This window comes from Homo sapiens, chromosome 11 (genome assembly GCF_000001405.40).
Source record: "Homo sapiens chromosome 11, GRCh38.p14 Primary Assembly".
In the NCBI taxonomy this organism is placed as follows: Eukaryota; Metazoa; Chordata; class Mammalia; order Primates; family Hominidae; genus Homo; species Homo sapiens.
Genome location: NC_000011.10, coordinates 12028729 through 12045541, shown reverse-complemented (window position 1 = coordinate 12045541; position 16813 = coordinate 12028729). Strand labels below are relative to the sequence as shown.

At 42.0% G+C, this 16813-nt stretch overlaps 1 long non-coding RNA gene across 1 annotated transcript in view; it reads right to left on the bottom strand.

The window, feature by feature from the left end:
• LINC02547 (long intergenic non-protein coding RNA 2547) overlaps positions 1-14667 on the bottom strand; it is a 30911-nt gene extending 16244 nt beyond the window's left edge. Inside the window, exon 1 of the long non-coding RNA NR_135109.1 lies at positions 14612-14667. This is a non-coding gene — a long non-coding RNA (long intergenic non-protein coding RNA 2547). The remainder of the gene's footprint in view (positions 1-14611) is intronic.
• Between the last annotated feature and the right edge of the window lie 2146 nt (positions 14668-16813).

Below are 16813 nucleotides of genomic sequence, written 5' to 3'. Positions count from 1 at the left end.
ACAGGGTCTTGTTAAGTTGCCTAGGCTAGTCTTGGACTCCTGACTCCAAATAATCTTCCCACTTCAGCCTCCCAAAGTGCTGGGATTACAGGCATGAGCCACCACACCTGTCCTTCTTATTTTTTATTTTTTTGAGACAGGGTCTCACTCCGTCACCCAGGTTGGAGTGCAGTTGTGTGATCACAGCTCACTGCAGCCTCATCTTCCTGGGCTCAAGTGATCACTACCTTAGCTTCCTGAGTAGCTGAACCTATAGGAGCGTGCCACCACACCTGGCTGATTGTTTTTTATCTTTTGTAACAACGGAATCTCCATATGTTACCTAAGCTAGTCTCCAACTCCCAGACCGAAGCGATCCTCCCATCTCAGCCTCCCAAAGTCCTGGGATTACAGGTGTGCACCATCACGCCCAGCCAGCCTGTGAGTTCTGACAGCAGCTGTGCTGGGTTCATTGTTGTCACTCCAATGTCTAGTGCACAGAGTAGGAGAGGGAGGGGACAGGCACAGGGATGTCTGAGGGCTTCCCACGCACCAGATGCTGTGTTAAGCCTCATCCATCTCGTTTTGTCCTCCCAGGAACCCTGTGCCAGGGATGGTGGCGTGGCAGCAAGGCGGAGAGTAGGAGGGCTCATTTAGGCCCCAGGCTACGGTCAGGGGTGAGGGGACAGGTAGAGTCCTCTCTGCTTTGTAGGCCTCCTGGGTTTCTAGACAAGAGGACACCACCCTCCTGCCACCACTTTGCATACTTCCTGGGTCACCGTCTTCCCAACTGGGGCTCAGCCATGGCCATTGTGAAATTTGTTCTGTCTCCTCTCAGACTCTGCCTCCCACTCCCATATCCAGACACGTTCCTGCTAGTGACAGCCACATGACCCTCCCAATAACCACACGCCCAGCCTGGCAGCCTTCCTGGGCCTCAGGAGTGTGGTAACTTTGGAGAAGGGCTTCTGACTCAGGCAGCTGAGCTTGCTGCCAGGTGGGGACTGGCTCTGGTCTCAGTGTATCTCTGGGCCCCTTCCCAATCCCAAAATGAAAGTCCCTCTTCAGGAGTGTAACCATCCAGGAACCAGCCCTCAGCTCAGCACTGGGTAGTGTCTGCTCATAAAAATGGCCACAAGGTGGCACTGTTCCCACAGCCATTCCCTTCCCCCACGGCAAGACCACGGGTCACACCTGCATCCAACAAAAATATTACAGCTTTTGGAAGAGGTTTTCCCTGGACTGGTTGGTGAATTTCATTCTCAGTCTTCAGCTGCCAAAGGTTGTTTAGACTCGGGAATTCTGCTATAAAAAATGGTCATCTCTGAGTGCACACTTAAAAGTCAAGCAGGTTATGACTCATTGTCAATCCCCCTGCAAAGGAATTCTGTCCTGAGAGGCCTCGTGCACGCCTGACACATACAAGAGGAATGCACACACGTTAAGCAGAAAGCACGTGGGTCTTCCGTGTGCAGACACGAAGGCCGGGAAGAATGGCCCTACAGGTGATCTAGCCGTGTTCTGGTTTTCTTTTTTTGTTTTAGCCTTAGGATTTTTATTTAGGAAAAACAACAAAACAAAACAGAAGCCACTGCCCTGACTATGGAGTAGCCATTCTTTTATTTTCTTACTTTGTTAATAAACTTACTTTCACTTTAAAAGAAAAAGAAAACCAAAAAGACCTCACATAGAAGCCAAATAAGTAAAATGAGGGTAAAATTTGAAAAATATATGGTGGTTCTGGTTGCAGATGTGGGGATAAAAGAATCTCTTCCCAGTGAAGAATTTTCTAGAGCAGAATTTGAAATGTATCCATCTAGTCTCACTGGCTTATTTTATAGGAGAATAAACTGAGACTCAGAGAGGAAAATGACTTGTTCAAGATCACATACTACTTTGGAATGTTTTCATTTTAAATGAAAGTCTCAAAAGGCAGGTATTTTCACTGAGAAACAAAAACAGTTTTTATTTTCTCTGACATATGTCCAGATGCTCTTCAAGTTACGGTGACCCGGGGCACAGGAAGAGTACTGCCTGACACTTCTACACAGCTCTGTTCATTTCAAATGCTTTCAGCATCTGTTGCCCTGTCTGGCCCTCACAATACCCCTTAGAGTTTGGCAGGGCAAATGGATACCCCATTTGTCTGAGGCGAGACCAAGGCACAGAGACGGAACTGGGCTTGCTTTAGGACACAAAGTGAGTGAGTGTCACTAAAAAATAAAATAAAAGACTAGCATCCAGGACTCCAGCAGCAATCCTACACAATCGTCTAGAGTTAAGTTTATGCTATGTCAGGGGGGAAACAAACAAGCAAAAAAAAACAGACGAGGCTGCTCGGTATTGGTGCTCAAGTGATGAAAAAGAAAAGTGAGGGCAGAGGCTCCCTCGTTGAGAATAGAACCCCGCTTTCTTCAGTTTTACATTTCATGATGAGGCATTACAGCTGGTATATTGTAGGATTCTGAACATTCATTGAATGAATAAATAATCATGACATGGATACATACATAAATACATTTGGCCCCTGAGACAGGTAATTAAAATTCTGCACGAGTTAACACCATTTCCATAACCCACATGGACAGAAACTCTTGACAGATGTCTTGGAGGAGAATGGCTTTCAAGGTACAGGGAGATACGTTGGTCTCTCTCTCCTCTCTTTCTGAACAGTAACCTTCGGAGAAAGGCAACCTTCAAACAGTGCTGGATTCCTGCAGCATTTTTACTGTTCAAATCTTTTGTTTCTTCCCACTTACTAAGGATTTCTGTGCATTAAGTCTTGAGGAGTGCAGTATAGGGAAGTCAGCATATTTACTAATATAATATTTTGGAACTTAGACTTAAAACAAGAATATTTAAAGGTAGCCGTATGACGTTGAACAAGTTCTGGTTTGTAGTATAGGTGAGCAAGTGGGGAGGCAATGATTAGCAATTCAATTCTGCAAAACTTTACCAAACCCTCACATGCCCAAGAACCAGTGCTGCGTTAAGAGGGGAAAAAAGGATGAGTAAGACAAGCCAATGGAGCTTGACAGATAGATGGGACAAGACAGGCATGTAAATAACCACAAAGGAATGTTGCAAGCCTACCCATTCAGAACCATTAACGGTTTGGTATGCTTCCTGTTTTTTACTCATGGTTACATCATCAAACACATTCTTTTTATACATACAGTGCATCGTTTTTCCCACGATGAAAATGCAACCATGTTATGCGTATCTTTCTACAATCTTTCTGTGATATTAACGCACTGTGGGCAGCTTCACTCATTTTTTTTTTTTTTGAGGAACTTCCGTACTCTTTTCCACAGCAGCTGTAACTTTTTATGTTCCCACCAACAGTGCACAAGGACTCTCGTTACTCTACATCTCATATGGTTTGGCTGTGTCCCCACCCAAATCTCATCTTGAATTGTAGCTCCCATAATTCCCATGTGTTAGGAAAGGAACCCAGTGAGAGATAATTAAATCATGGAGACAATTTCCCCCATACTGTTTTCGTGGTAGTGAATAAGTCTCACAAGATCTGATGGTTTTAGAAGGGGTTTCCGCTGTTACTTGGCTCTCATTCTCTCTTCTCTTGTCTGCTGCCGTGTGAGATGTGCCTTTCACTTTCTGCTATGATCGTGAGGCCTCCTCAGCCACATGGAACTGTGAATCCATTAAACCTCTTTCTTTTGTAAATTGCCCAGACTTGGGTTTCTCTTTATCAGCAGCGTGAAAACAGACTAATACATAGCATTAGTCTGGTACTAGGAATGGGGCAGTACTATAAAGATACCCAAAAATGTGGAAGCTACTTTGGAACTGGATAACACACAGAAGTTGGAGGAGTTTGGAGGGCTCAGAAGACAGGAAAATGTGGAACAGTTTGGAACTTCCTGGAGACTTGTTGAATGGCTTTCACCAAAATGCTGATAATAATATGAACAATGAAATCCAGGCTAAGGTGGTCTCAGATGGAGATGAGGAACTTGGGAACTGGAGCAAAGGTGACTCTTGTTATGTTTTAGCAAAGAGACTCGCAGCATTTTGCCCCTGCCCTAGAGATTTGTGGAACTTTCAACTTGAGAGAGATGGTTTAGGGTGTCTGGCGGAAGAAATTTCTATGCAGCAAGGCATTCAGTAGGTGACTTGGGTGCTGTTAAAGGCATTTAGTTTATAAGGGAAGCAGAGTATAAAAGTTCAGAAAATTTGCAGCCTGACAATGTAATAGAAAAGAAAATCCCATTTTCTGAGGAGAAATTAAAGCTGGCTGCAGAATTTTTTTTCTGTTTTTTTTTTTTTATTAAAGACGTCTCACTCTGACACCCATGCCAGAGCGCAGTGGTGCAATCTCAGCTCACTGTAACCTCTGCCTCCTGGGTTCAAGTGATTCTCCTGCCTCAGCCTCCTGAGTAGCTGGGACTACAGGCACATGCCACCATGCCTGCCTAATTTTTAGTAGAGGTGGGGTTTCACCATATTGGCCAGGTTGGTCTCGAACTCCTGATTTTGTGATCCACCTGCCTTGGCCTCCCAAAGTGCTGGGATTATAGGCGTAAGCCACTGCGCCCGGCCCAGAAATTTGCATAAGTTATGAGGAGCTGAATGTTAATCCCCAAAACAATGGGGAAAATGTCTCCAGGACATGTCAGAGGTCTTCAAGGCAGCCCCTCTCTCACAGGCCCAGAGGCCTATGAGGAACAAATGGTTTTGTGGGCCGGACCCAGGGTCCCTGTGCTGTGTGCAGCCTAGGGACTTGGTGTCCTGCATCCCAGCCATTTTAGCTGTGGTTGAAAGGGGCCAACATAGAGCTTGGGCCATTGCTTCAGAGGGTGCAACCCCAAGCCTTGGCAGATTTCATGTGGTGTTGAGCCTATGGGTGCACAGAATTCAAGAACTGAGGTTTGGGAACCTCCACCTAGATTTCAGAGGATGTGTGAAAACACCTGGATGTCCAGGCAGAAGTTTGCTGCAGGAATGGGCACTCATGGAGGACCTCTGCTAGGGCAGTAGGGAAGGGAAATGTGGGGTGGGCACCCCCACACAGAGTCCCCACCGAAGCACTGCCAGTGGAGCTGTGAGAAGAGGTCCACTGTCTTCCAGACCCCAGAATGGTAGATCCACCGACAGCTTGCACCATGTGCCTGGAAAAGCTGCAGACACTCCACACCAGCCTGTGAAAGTGGCCAGGAGGGAGGCTGGAACCTGCAAAGCCACAGGGACTGAGCTACCCAAGACCATGGGAACACACCTCTTGCAGTGTGACCTGGATGTGAGACAAGGAATCAAAGGAGAGCATTTTGGAACTTTAAGATTTGACTGTTCCACTGGACTTCAGATTTGCATGGGGCCTGTAGCCTCTTTTTTTTTTTTTTTTTTTTGGCCAATTTTCCCCATTTGGAACAGGTATATTTACCCAATAACTGTACCCTCATTGTATCTAGGAATTAACTTGCTTTTGATTTTACAGGCTCATAGGTAGAAGGGACTTGCCTTGTGTTAGATGAAACTTTGGACTGTGGACTTCTGAGTTAAGGCTGAAATGAGTTAAGACTTTGGGGGACTTTTGGGGAGGCATGATTAGTTCTGAAATGTGATGACAGAATGATATGGTTTGGCTGTGTCCCCACTCAAATCTCATCTTGAATTGTAACTCCCATAATTCCCACATGTTGTGGGAGGGACCCAGTGGGAGATAATTGAATCATGAGGGTGGATTCCCCCCATACTGTGCTTGTGGTAGTGAATAAGTCTCATGAGATTTGATGGTTTTATAAGGGGTTTCTGCTTTTGCTTGGCTCTCATTCTCTCTTCTCTTGTCTACCACCATGTGATATGTGCCTTTCACCTTCTGCCATGAATCTGAGGCCTCCCCAGCGATGTGGAACTGTGAGTTCATTAAACCTCTTTCTTTTGTAAATTGCCCAGTCTTGGGTATGTCTTTATCAGCAGCATGAGAATGGACTAATAACAACATCCTTGACAACACACTGTTTTCTGGGTTTTTCTGAGAGTAGCCATCATAGAGGGTGTGAGGTGATAACTCATTGTAGTTTCAAATTACACCTCCTGAGTGATTTATTCTAATTTTTAACTTTTATTTTAGATTCAGGGTATGCATGCACGTTTGTTATATAGGTAAACTGTGCATCGTAGGGGTTTGGTTTATAGATTATTTCACCAGGTAATAAACATAGTACCTGATAGGTAATTTTTTGACCTTCACCGTCCTCCTCCCCTTTACCAACTTTCTACCCTCAGATAGGCCTCAATGTCTGTTGTTCCCTTCTTTGCATCCATGTGTACTCAATGTTTAGCTCCCACTTGTAAGTGAGAACATACAGTACTTGGTTTTCTGTTCCTGCATTAGTTCACTTGGGATAATGACCTCCAGCTCCATCCATGTGCTGCAAAGGACATAATCCTGTTCTTTTTTATGGCTGTTTAGTATTCCATGGTGTATGTGTACCACATTTTCTTTATCCAGTCTACTATTGATGGGATTTAAACTGATTCCATGTCTTTGCTATCGTGAATAGTGCTGTAATGAACATACGCATGCATGTGTCTTTATGGTAGAATGATTTATATTCCTTTGAGTATATATTCAGTAATGGGATTGCTGAGTCAAATGCTAATTCTGTTTCAAGTTCTTTGAGAAATCACCAAACTGCTTTCCACAGTGGCTGAAGTAATTTACATTTCCACCAGCAGTATATAAGCGTTCCCTTTTCTCTGCAACCTCACCAGCATGTTATTTTTTTACTTTTAAATAATAGCCATTCTGGCTAGTGTGAGATGGTATCTCATTATGGTTTTGATTTGCATTTCTCTAATGATTAGTGATGTTGAACATTTTTGTGTATGCTTGTTGACTGTGTGTATGTCATCATTTGAAAAGTGTCCATTCATGTCTTTGCCCACTTTTTAATGGGGTTGTTTGTTTTTTGCTTGTTAATTTGTTTAAGTTCCTAATAGATTCTGAATATTAGACCTTTGTTGGATGGTTACGTTACAAATATTTTCTTCCATTTGGTTCGGTTGTCTGTTTACTCTGTTGTTAGTTTCTTTTGCTGTGCAGAACCTTTTTAGTTTAATTGGGTCCCATTTGTCAGTTTCTCTTTCTGTTGCAATCAATTTTTGTGTCTTCATCATGAAATTGTTGCCAGGGCCTATGTCCAGAATGGTATTTCCTAGGTTAACTTCCAGAGTTCTCACAGTTTTGTTTTACATTTAAGTATTTAATAAATCTTGAGTTGATTTTTGTGTATGGTGTAAGAGGAAGAGGTTTTATCTTCTGCACATGGCTAGCCAGTTATCACAGCACCATTTATTGAATAGGGAGTCCTGTCCACATTGCTTGTTTTTGTAGACTTTGTCAATGATCAGTTGGTTGTAGGTAATTGGAATTATTTCTGGGCTCTTTATTTTGTTCCATTTGTCTTTGTATGTGTGTTTTGTACCAGTACCATGCTCTTTTGGCTACTGCAGCCTTGTAGTGTAGTTTGAAGTCAGGTAATATGATGCCCTCAGCTTTATTCTTTTTGCTTAAAATTGTGTTGGCTATTCAGACTCTTGTTTGGTTCCACATGGATTTTAAAATACTTTCTTTCTAATTCTGTGAAAAAATGTCATTGGCAGTTTGATATGGATAGCATTGAATCTGTAAATTGCTTTGGGTAGTATGGCCATTTTAACAATATTGATTCTTCCTATCCATGGGCATGGAATATCTTTCCATTTGTTTGTGTCACCTCTGATTTCTTTGAGCAGTGCTTTGTAATTTTCATTGCAGAGATCTTTCACCTTCCTGGTTAGCTGTATTCCTAGGTATTTTATTCTTTTTGTGGCTATTGTGAATGGAATTGTACGCTTGATTTGGCTCTCAGCTTGGATGCTATTGGTGTATAGTAGTGCAACCAATTTTTGTTCTTTGATTTTATATCCTGACGCTTTGCTGAATTTGTTTATCAGATCTAGGAGCTTTTGGGCAAAGATTATGGGGTTGTCTAGGTATAGAATTATATCATCTGCAAACACAGATAGTTTGACTTTCTCTCTTCCTGTCTGGAGGCTGTAAATCCATCTGGTCCTGGGCTGCTTCTGTCTGGCAGGCTTTTTATTACCGATTCAGTTCCAGAACTCCAGGTTATTGGTCTGTTCAGGGATTCAGTTTCTTCTTGGTTCAATCTTGAGAGGTTGTATGGTTCTGGAAATTTATCCATTTCTTCTAGTTGTATGAATAGAGGTGTTTATAGTAGTCTCTGAGGTTTTTTTGTATTTCTGTGGGGTCAGTGATAATGTCCCCTTTGTCATTTCTGATTATGTTTATTTGGATTTTCTCTCTTTTTTTTTCTTTATTAATCTTATTTCCTTCTCTTGCCTGATTGCTCTGGCTAGAACTTCCAGTACTATGTTGAATAGGAGTGGTGAGAGTAAGCATCCTTGTGTTGTTCCAGTTCTCGAGGGGAATGCTTCCAGTTTTTGCCCATTCAGTATGATGCTGGCTGTGGGTTCATCATAGATGGCTCTTATTATTTTCAGGTATGTTCCTTCAATGCCTAATTTCTTGAAGGTTTTTAACATGAAGGGATGTTAAATTTTATCAAATGCCTTTTCTGCATCTATTGAGATAATCATGTAGTTTTTGTTTTTAGTACTGTTTATGTGATAAATCACATTTATTGATATTTATATGTGTGGAACCAGCCTTGCATCCCTACTTGAGCAGGGTGGATTTGCTTTTTGATGTGCTGCTGGATTTGGTTTGTTAGTATTTTGTTGAGTTTTTTTGCATCTATGCTGATCAAGGATATTAGCCTGAAGTTTTCTTTATTTGTTGTGTTTCTGCCAGGTTTTGGCACAGAATGATGCTGGCCTTGTAGAATGAATTAGGGAGGATTCCCTCCTCCTCTATGTTTTTTAGAATAGTTTCAGTAGGAATGGTACTAGCTCTTCTTTATATATCTGGTAGAATTTGGATATGAATCCGTCTGGTCCTGAGCTGCTTCTGGTTGATAGGCTTTTTATTACTGATTCAATTTTGGAACTTGTTATTGGTCTGTTCAGGGATTCAGTTTCTTCCTGGTTCAATCTTGGGAGGTTGTACGTTTCTAGGAATTTATCCATTTCTTCTAGGCTTTCTAGTTTTTGTGAATAGAATTGTTCATAGTAGTCTCTGAAGGTTTTTGTATTTTTGTAGGGTCAGTGGTAATGTCACCTTTGTCATTTCTGATTGTGTTTATTTGATTCTATTCTCTTTTTTCTTTATTAGTCTAGTTAGTGGCTTTCGATCTTACTTATTCTTTCAAAATACAAACTCCTGGATTCATTGCTCTTTTGTATGACTTTTCACATCTCCATTTCCTTCAGTTCAGCTCTGATTGTGGTTATTTCTGGTCTTCTGCTAGCTTTGGGGTTGGTTTGCTCTTGTCTCTCTATTTCTTCTAGGTGTGATGTTAGGTTGTTAATTTGAGATCTTTCTAACTTTTTGGTGTGGGCGTTTAGTGCTATAAACTTCCCTCTTACTTTAGCTGTGTCCCAGAGATTCTGGTATGTTGTACTTTATTCTAATTAGTTTCAAAGCATTTCTTGATTTCTGCCTTAATTTATTGTTTAACAAAAAGTCATTCCGAAGATTGTTTAATTTCCATATAATTTTATGGTTTTGAGCATATTCTTAGTATTGATTTCTATTTTTATTGCCCCATGGTCCAAGAGGGTGGTTGGTAAGATTTTGTTTTTTTTAATTTGCTGAGAATTGTTCTATGGCCAATTGTGCATCAGTGTTAGAGTATGTGCCATGTGATGATGAGAAGAATGTATATTCTGTTGTTTTGGGGTGGAGAGTTCTGTAGAGGTCCATCAGATCCATTTGGTCCAATGTTGAGTTCAGGTCCTGAATATCTTCGCTAATTTTCTGCCTTGATAATCTGTCTAATACTGTCAGTGGAGTGTTGAAGTCTCCCACTATTATCATGTGGGCATCTATGTCTGTTTGTAGGTCTCTAAGAACTTGCTTTATGAATTTGAGTGCTCCTGCATTGGGTGCATATATATTTAGGATAGTTAGGTCTTCTTGTTGAATTGAACCCTTCACCATTATGTATTGCCATTCTTTGTCTTTTTTTTATCTTTGTTGGTTTGAAGTCTGTTTTGTCTGAAATTAGGATTGCAACCCCTGCTTTTTTCTGTTTTCCATTTGCTTGGTAGATTTTTCCTCCATTCCTTTATTTTGAGCCTATGGGTGTCATTACATATGAGATGGGTCTCTTGAAGACCATGTACTGTTGGGTCTTGCTTTTTATCCAGCTTGCCACTCTGTGCCTTTTAAGTGGGGACATTTAGCCTGTTTACATTCAAGGTTAGTATTGATATGTGTGGATTTGATCCTGTCATTGTGTTGTTAGCTGGTTATTATGTTGGCTTGTTTATGTGGTTCTTTTGTAGTGATGCTGGTCTGAGTGTTTAAGTGTGTTTTTGTATTAGCTGGTAACAGCCTTTCTTTTCTATATTTAGTGTTTCTTTTAAGGTCTCTTGTAAGGCAGGTGTGGTGGTAACAAACTCCCTCAACATTTGTTTCTCTGAGAAGGATCTTATTTCTCCTTCACTTATGAAGCTTTTTTGGATTGATATGAAATTTTTACTTGGACTTTCTTTTATTTAAAAATGCTGACTATAGGCCCCCAATCTCTTCTGGCTTGTAGAGTTTCTGCTGAAAGGTCTACTGTTAGCCTCATGGGGTTCTCTTTGTAGGTGACCTGCCCCTTCTCTCTAGTTGCCTTTAATATTTTTTCTTTCATTTTGGTCTTGGCAAATGGATGACTATGTGTTTTGGGGATGGTTATCTTGCGTATTATCTTGCAGGGGTTCTCTGCATTTGAATGTTGGCCTCACTAGTGAAATTGGGGAAATTTTCATGAACAATATCCTCAAATATGTTTTTCAAGTTGCTTGCTTTCTCTCCCTTTCTTTCCGTGATGCCAATGAATCAAATATTTGGCCTGTTTATATAATCCTTGATTTCTCAGAGGTTTTGTTCATTCCTCTTTATTTTTGTCTGAGTTACTTTGAAGAACTGGTCTTTGAGCTCTGAGATTCTTTCCTCAGCTTGGTCAATTCTGCTGTTAAAACTTGTGATTGTATTATGAAATTCTTAAAGTGATCTTTTCAGCTCTATCAGATCGATTTGGTTATTTCTTAAAATGGCCCTTTATCTCCTGTGTCGTTTTATTGTATTCCTTAGATTTCTTGGATTGGGTTTTGACTTTCTCCTGAATCTTGATAATCTTCATTCCTATCCATATTCTGAATTCTCTGCCATTTCAGCCATTTCAGCCTGGGTAAGCACCATTGCTGAGGAACTAACATGGTTGCTGTGGAGGTAAGAAGACACTCTGGCTTTTTGAGTTGCCAGAGTTCTTGCACTGGCTCTTTCTCACTTGTGTGGGCTAATGTTCCTTCAGTCTTTGAAGTTGCTATCCTTTGGATGAGAACTCTTACTTTTATCTTTTTTTGATGCTGTTGGGGGTTTGATTGTGGCATATGGTAGGTTCAGTCTACTGGTTATGCTATGGTTCAGTCTAATGATTATGCAAGATTTTAAGGGGCCAAGGCTCAACACTCCTGGCCTGTGTGCTGTAACTCTGAGGGGCTGGCACTGATGCCCCAGCTTTGTTTTCTGGCCCCTTGAGGTTAGAAACTTGCTACACTGGAGAGGTCAAGGTGTTCCCAGTCCACTGGCCACAATATTCCAATAGGTGGTACCAGCCAGAGAACTTCATCAGGGTGATGGCAGTACGATCTGTGCTTGGTCGCATGTGCCAGCAGCCATGGCAATGCAGCAGGGTGCACATGTCAGCTAGGGTTGGGCACTAGTGGGAGTAGGGCTGCCGCATTCCTGCACATGCTCATTGAGACAGCGGTGGCAGCATGGTGGGAGCAGACTGCTGGTGGGGGTGAGGTTGTCAGTGTCCACACTCACACCAGTGGGAGTGGTGGAAGGTGCAGGGTGCTGGTAGGTGTGGGGCTGCCAGGCTCCATGCATACACTCACTAGCGGCATTCATTCTAAAGATTTTCCATGCCATTCATCCTTCCAATACTTCCTGAGTGCCCACCATATACCTGACACATGCTATGTGTCATGTGATAGGGAATAAAACACAGTTCCTGCTTGAAGGTAGCTTAAACCATATGAATGTGCCATTATTCAGTAAATCATTTTCACATTACTGGACATTTCAGTTGTAATGCTTTTTCTCTGTTGATAACAATAATTAGAGTTAAGATTTATTAAGCACATACAAGCATTTTATGTAGATTATTTCATTAATCTTTGTAAATAGCCCACGGAGGTAGATCTATTATGGATGAAGAAATGGAAGATAACACTTAGTCATTTACTCAAGCACATGCAGCCATTAAAGTGGCAGGGCCATGATTCAGACGTGGGCAATTTGACTTCAGATCCCAGACTCTTCCAGTAAGAACTATAATGAATATATTTGTTCAGATTTCTTTTGGCATTTTGTAAATATTTCTTAAGAATAGATTCTTAAAATTGGGATTAGTGTGCCAAAGAGCATGCAAATATATTTTAACATTTTAAGACGAAAATGAAAATATCTGTTCTGCATTGTTGCAAGATCATTTTTGTGACCAATCAGCCCTGTGCTGTTCAGTAGGGCAATCCCCAGCCAGCCACATGTGACTATGGAGCCCGTGAGAATTGAGATATGCTCTATGTGTAAAACACACATGGGATTTTGAAGACTTAGTATGAAAAAAAAGGAATGTAAAATATCTCATCAATAATTTTTCTATTGCTTACATGTTGATAGTATTCTTTGTCCATTAGATTAAATAGAATATAGTATTAAAATTTATTTTCCTGTTTCTTTATATTTAATGCAACTACTGGAACGTTTAATGTTTCATTTTTATCAGACAGCACTACTGGATAAGAGGCTGGACTCACAGTGAGGTGAGAGGTTGGAGGCCCCTTTGGAATAATTCAGGTGGCACATGATGAGGACAGACTTGGAGCAGAGGCCTTGTGAATAGGCTGGAGCTGAGGGTCTGTCCCAGCAGAGTAATGAGGTTTTGGTGCCCAGGAACATGATGGTTGTCAGACTCCTGGTTCCCTGTCTCTGCAACAAATTCCCCTTCCCCACTTTGATTTCTCCACAGTCCCTTTTACTCAAAGCAGAACTGTGTCCCCGCCTGAAAGGCTTGGCCAGTTTCCCAGTTTCCAAGTCCAATCCTAACCCAAAGCAGTGTACACCAAATTCCCACCAACCTCCAGCTACCAGGAATTTGGCATCTATTTGTTCCCCTGTTTTTTAACCAATTCAGAAATGGTTTGTTTTTTTTTTTCCAGGTCATATAACTGGGTTTCTGCTGAGGTGTCTGGCTCCGAGTTGCTTTGGAGCAGCCACCTAGAGCCCAGGCCTTGGGAGGGCCAGGCCCTGTTTGCAGCCCGGAGACCAGGGCTCTATGTCCCCTGAAGGACACAGAGTGGCAGATTTGCCCAGTGTGGAGATGCCACTGCTGGGCTATGTCCTCCTACCATCTGTCTCCCTTTTGCCTGCCAGTAAAAAGAGAAGATGCACTCAAGAAAGGTGGGCTCCCTGGAACCAGCAGGGAGGGAGAGAGAATGCCGCCTCTGCTCTCAGGAATTTTCTGTTCCCTGTTGCCCTCTCCTTGGGCTTCACCCCTGGCCCATGCCTCTCACCCTTAAAGACTTGGGGCTGCCTGCTCTCCTCCAGAGACAAGGCCCAGAAGCAGCCTGAGGAAGATCTGAAAATGGAGAATGGCCACCTTGACCCAGAAGTGGCAGGACGTGTGTCTCTAAGAGATGTAAGGAAGGCTCATTTGAAAGTGACAAGACTTGTCAAAGAAAGAGCAGATTCAGATTTGGATATTTTCCCCACTGCTTAGACTCACTGATTAAAAAGCCTCTGTAATTTCTGTGGAGGAACAGTCTCTCCTCATAGTAGGGACAAGGTGGTTCTTGTTGTTTTTCTCTTTTGTTAGAGATGAAAAATGAAGTTTGGCTTCTCTCATTCTTGTTCTCATTCCTATTCTTAGATCTCATTGGTATTCTCAGTGAATGTTTAAGCTTCCACTGTCTGGCCTCTGTATGAGGATACAATGTATTGCAAATTTAAGCTTGTTTGTCAAAATATGGAAAGGGAAAATTATTGGGAAAATTTTTATATGAAGGGGGAAAAAAAAGCAACAAAAGCCTAGATTGTAGGCACTAAAATCTATTGCAGCAGAATTTCTGGATGTGAAGATCAGACACTGATGGCTTAAAAGCTTCTCAGAAAATTCTGTATGCATCTAGTGTTAAGAAACTGGACAAAATTAATATCAATGACTAAGGCCACTACATATTACTTTAATTTTGAGTAACTTTTGAGTAAGACCTCATCCTCCTCCTCTTTTGGGTTACACACACACACACACACACACACACACACACACACAAATGAATTTCCTCTGAAAAAAGTCACTATTTCTGTTGCATCTGTTAATGTACAGTGAAGGTTGGTGTATTAGTGTATTCTTGCACTGCTATAGATAAATACCTGAGACTGAGACTGGGTAATTTATAAAGAAAAGGGGTTTAATTGACTCACGGTTCTGCAGGCTGTATAGGAAGCATACTGGCTTCTAGGGAGGCCTCAGGAAACTTACCATGATGGTGGAAGGTGAAGGGGAAGCAGGCACATCTTTCATAGCCAGGGCAGGAGGAAGAGACAGAGGGAGGAGGTACCTCACACTTTTCAACATCCAGATCTGGTGAGGACTCTGTCATGAGACAGCACTAGAGGGATGGTACTAAACCATTAGAAACCACCCCCATAAGCCAGTCACCTCCCACCAAGCCCCACCTCCAACACTGGGGATTACAATTCAATGTGAGATTTGGGTGGGAACACAGACCCAAACCATATCAGTTGGCAAAATTAAATGGCCTTTCATTTCTCCTTCTACAAAAATAAGAACTACTCTCTTTCCTCTTAGAATAAGCATGTTTAATCTTTGCTTCTGATGTATAATTTTGGCCTGGAAGATAATTAAAAATATGGTATTGGTGAGTTTATATATGGTGACAACAGAAACTCATGAAAAGTTGGCATCACATTATTTTCTTACTTGCTGTTTTTCCAAATAGTCATTGAATATATGCATTAAGACATGACTTGTGTTCCATGAAATATTTGAAATCCACTCTAATTACACTTTACTGGGTCTGCCTTTTGCCCTTCCATGGGTAAAGGGGTGGTTTTGTTTGAAAAGGCCTTAGTGTGACACAGGGGAGCTGAGCAAGCCATGAGTCGCAAGGAGGCTCCAACCACTGCCATTCATTAGAGCTGGGAACTCCAGCGGCATAAATAGGGAACTAATTCAGAATTCCAGCAGGGTCAAAGAGGTTATGGATGACTCACAGCTGAATGTGAAAGATCAAATAGAATGGCACCAAATTTAGGGTAGCTGGGCAAATATTTAAATATCTTGAGAACCAAAGAAAGGCAGACTTAAGGGAACACTTTCCATTATCTACACATGGCAGCACAACCAGCATCCCCAGCCCATGGCCATGTAAAGGTAGGCATTGCCACTCTCAGTTACATTCCCAATGCTCAAGAGTGGCATTGGAAACAGTGAAGCATGTCAGCTCCCATCTCCGCATCAGGCCTCAGGCTTCCATGAGTAGATATAGTGCATAGGATAGAGCAATAACGTTAGAAAGGCTTTTGAAAGAATCTTTATTCGTGATTTGAATGAGACAGTGGGAAGGTTAATTGCCTATGTGTTACAGCATTACTTTGATTAAGCGAAGGCTTGGGAGCAGGGGGTGTTAAAGAAAAAGTTATTCATGACACTTATTAAAGAACAGCAAGGCAGATCTAATTCAGGGGAACTATTTCCATAGGTATAGGGGCTTCTGTGGTGGGGTTTGGCAGTGGGCAGAGAGATTGGGCTCAACTCTGAATACAACAAGGAAAAGTGAGAATTTAAAGTTAAGGAGCAGGGTAGGATGTCAGTCGTGAGCAGCGGCTATGTGGGCCAGTGGTACAGGGGTAAAAAATTTACCAACACAGTTGTAGATAAAGAAAGGCAGATTTATTACAGAAAGTAGAAAAATACATTGCCAGGGAGCAACAGGCAGCCAGCAAGAGAGGAGCTGACTGCAAAGAAACAAAAGCTTGCTGGGGATTTTACAGAATAGTTACTGGGCTACAGGGTGGTATGTGCAGTACTGATAATGCCAAGGTTGCAGTGAATTAACTTGGAATTTTTTGTACCAGCCAAGGGTTTGGTGATAGCTGGGTGCAGAAAGATTGTGAGTTATTGGTGTCCTGGAACAGGAAGAAAGGCAGACTTGTAGCTTATCTGCTTTTTCTTCTGGCTTTCCCCTGGTCCCACCAGCCTGACTCCTTTTCCCCAATTAGCACTCCACATAGGTGTCACTGGATGGAAAAATATCAAGTGGAAACATTGGGGTATGAAGGAATTCTGGCTAAACAGGCCCAACCTATTTCTTGCTAAAGAGAGGCCAAGGTGTTTGGACGTCATCTATGGGATAGTGGATGAGGAACCTGATCAGATATCGAGGGCGAAGGGTTCACGTTACAATGACTTAGCAGGATCCTTACTAAAATTGGATAACGCAGAAACAAACACAGAAACCCAAAAGTTAGAGCCTAGTTAAAAATAGAATTCTAAAGACCGACTAAAGTTTGATCAAGGAGAGAATCTTGGTCAGTGGTGCAATAGAGTTTTTAGGGTAGGCCTGAAGCACACATCTTCAAGCTGCCTCTCACTCGTCACTC